We start from the raw sequence: 3,164 nt of genomic DNA on the forward strand, positions 1-3,164 counted from the left end.
ACTGTTAAGACATTCGATTGTAAGAAAGTATTTCTAAATCCAAATTGTGCACTTTCCATGTGTATAATTTGCCCAAAATCTAAAATTACCTTATGCAGTGATGCAACATGATACATTTTTACAATTCTCTGAGGATACGCTGTGATAAATTGTTATTATCCATGATTTACAGGGCAGCTTTGGAGTGCCTACAGCTGCTTACAACTCATAGTTGCACCATAGATTCCACACCTGCCTGTTTATCCGTCTCTTCTTACTCCAGGTGCCACGTGCATCATGATAATAATATACTACCGTCAATGTAGCATTTTCTCCTCACATCTCACTTCCTCTTTTCATGGATTTCACTTTTATAAATCAATATCATCTTTAAATCCCAGCCTGGTCCTGATACAGACAGAGGAGGAGGTAACTTCAGTCAAGAAGCTAAAGGAACACACACGTTGAAGGGAACATGGGAAAACTGGCTGTGAGCTTCCACATTCTGGGGCATTCTGCCAAACATTTGGAGGGCCTAACCATATTTCTTGGGAGTCTCATTTGGCAGACCGTGGAGACCAGGTCTCTAAATGGATGCTTTACCTTTAAACATGACAGTTTGGTTCAAATATAATGAGCCAAGAATTACACACAAAGCTGCCATTCTTTATATTGTGTCTAAATTGTCTTGATTTTTAACTCTACACTATATATATTCCAAAAACAAAACTAAAATGAATAGGCAGGAGTTAGATGGGGTGAGTGATGGGTGATGGGTGTGTGGTTAATAATAGGAATATTTACTGTCATCTGCAAGAACATCTGGGACACCTCCTCCTTTTCCACATGAGGAATCAGGGATCCAGGGCCAAATTTCACTTTATCTTTCTTTTAGAAAGGGCTGTACCTGCTGCATGTATGTTTTAATTAAGAAAACTGAATATACAGAAATTCCAGATTTCAGAAGCAATGCTTTGATGTTCATTTGCAGTAGCTATGGATGGATTCATGAAAACAGGGGCTTCCTCAGAATCCCCTTGCACATCTATCAGCCACTCTAGTGTATACTATTGACTCACCAGTTTTGCAAAGCAAGGCACGCCTCCAATTCTGTTCTTCCCCTAATCCATTCCCACAAATAATAAAATGATTGACTGCTCAGCGTTAATCTTTCTATGAAACTTTACAGAGTAATCCTATCATTTGCCTGTTATACAGAAATCAGCTGAAAAGCATTAAGAATATTAGCGTGTTTTTCCTCCATGAAATTGCTAGAGCACAACAAACAGAGCCCCTTCTCCTGCCTCCTTTTCTCTAACAACCCCCAACAGAACACCCTACACCCAGATTCCTCTCTTTCCATGGTGAGGCTGATGGAGGCTTAGAAGGACACTTGGTATGCCCGCTCCCTCTTCCCTTTTTTATCAGTCAAAATACCAGTGAAACGGAAGTCAATACTTATTTGATTCATGGTTTTTTTTCCTTTTTAAAGCACGAATAACATTTCTTTCAAAATAAATATACAGTTCTATAAAAAAATATAAGAAGGTACTATAATTCTTGGTCACTGTCCAGCAGAAACATGTTTGATTGCTTTTAGAGTCAGAAGTCAACACCATCCACAAAAATACATTCTTTTAGCCAGGTTTTAGAACACTTTGAAACATAGAAAATTCCTTATTCTACAAACAAGTCCTTTTAGAGATATTCTAAATATGCCAGTGATGAATGTCTAATTCATATGCAGGATTCAAGGCTATTGAGGTGAGCTAGACTAAGAATACCAAGAACACAAAATTGTATTGATACACAAACAGTATGTAAATTACTTTGTCAGATTACAAAAATGCATCAGATTTTATCTATGGTTTTCATAGATAAACATAAAGCAATAAGTTAGTTGCTTTAAAAAAATATATAGCTCAGGTGTTTCTCTTCATTCAAGTGTGAAAGGCACAGCAGTCCCGAGTCTTAGGGGCACCCACCGCAGCCACATCACCGCGCTGGGACAGATGCAGTCCGCAGCGTTCCCAGTATTTTGTCCCAGTGTGTAAAGTACGGAGCGAAGTTGCAGTTAAAGTGAGAGTGATGCAGGTCGTGGTGCACCACACCCCCGTACCACCCGAAGGGCACCAGTCTGTGAGTGGACCAAGGGAAGTTGTAGCCGGAGTGGTCCTCCACGGAAAGCCAGATGTTGACCACGTGGAAGGTCAGGGTGGTGAGCGGGTGGCACCCGAGCAGTGTGACGTTCATCATGTCGAAGAAGCCCAAAGAAAACAGTTCCCAGACGCTCATATACTGCGTTGCCAGCGCGAACGAGGACGAGTTCTGGTGGTGCACCTTGTGGAAGGTGCGGTACAGCCAGGGCACCTTGTGGTGCAGCAGGTGCCACACGAAGAACTCCATGTCGAAGAGTAGCAGGCAGAACAGGATGTGGTGCAGCAGCAGGAGCAGCTCGGGAGCTTCGTGGGGCAGGAGGGCCGGGCTGCGGGCCCAATGCAGCAGCGTCACGGGGAACACAAACATCACATGCTGGTAGAGGGTCTGCCCCAGGCAAGGTAGCAGCTGCTGCGCGGATGGCGAGAAGTCAGGGTGGATCTTGTAGCGCCGCAGGGCGGGCACCCAGGAGCACAGGATATCCAGGACCACGAAGGGCAGGCAAAAGCCCACGTATGTGGTGATGGAGAAGATGACCGGGAAGAAGGGCGACTGTAGGAGGGCCTCCCAGCTCCTCAGGTGGTCCCAGAGGGGCTGCAGGAACAGCTGCCCGGAGCTGCAAAGGACCTGGGGGTCGGAGCAGTTGTGGCAGCTCATTGCGAGGCTGTGCAAGGCAGCTGAGGCTGCTGCTCGAGTCCCATCGACTTTTCACAGGACTCACGGCCCCGCCCCGAGTGATGTCAGCTGCCTTTCCATCCCTTTCCCGGCGATGCGAAGCTTGAATAAGCTAGCAACCCGGCAGAGTGGCCCTTCATTGCTGTAAATGTGCTCATCTATAGCCGCATCTTACCGGCTTTTAGATATGCGTGTATGCAGTGGCACTTCGTACTTTTCATGTAAGTTCTGATTTTTCAGTTGACGTACAATTAACACGGGACACAATGTACAGATCTACCGTGTGGAGTTTCTATGAGTTTGGCAACTCAGTTCACGTGTGTCATCACGGGTCTCAAACTAGACCGTTTACA

General features: G+C 45.1%; 1 protein-coding gene across 1 annotated transcript, besides 1 other annotated feature; it reads right to left on the reverse strand.

The window, feature by feature from the left end:
• Positions 1-1,129: 1,129 nt before the first annotated feature.
• On the reverse strand, positions 1,130-2,818 carry CH25H (cholesterol 25-hydroxylase). The gene has a single exon (NM_003956.4). The coding sequence runs from the start codon at positions 2,791-2,793 to the stop codon at positions 1,975-1,977; it is 819 nt and encodes a 272-aa protein (NP_003947.1). The 5' UTR covers positions 2,794-2,818; the 3' UTR covers positions 1,130-1,974.
• Positions 2,590-2,659: an enhancer, noted in NCBI's record as "active region_3736". NCBI's record gives its function as "activates an Ori minimal core promoter by ATAC-STARR-seq in GM12878 lymphoblastoid cells {active_cell/tissue: GM12878}" and the evidence as "EXISTENCE:reporter gene assay evidence [ECO:0000049][PMID:35858748]".
• Positions 2,819-3,164: the final 346 nt, after the last annotated feature.

Source organism: Homo sapiens, chromosome 10, assembly GCF_000001405.40.
Source record: "Homo sapiens chromosome 10, GRCh38.p14 Primary Assembly".
Taxonomy (NCBI): Eukaryota; Metazoa; Chordata; class Mammalia; order Primates; family Hominidae; genus Homo; species Homo sapiens.

Coding starts and splice junctions, on each gene's coding strand:
- CH25H (NM_003956.4), bottom strand. CDS start 2,793: ATGAGCTGCCACAACTGCTCCGACCCCCAGGTCCTTTGCAGCTCCGGG.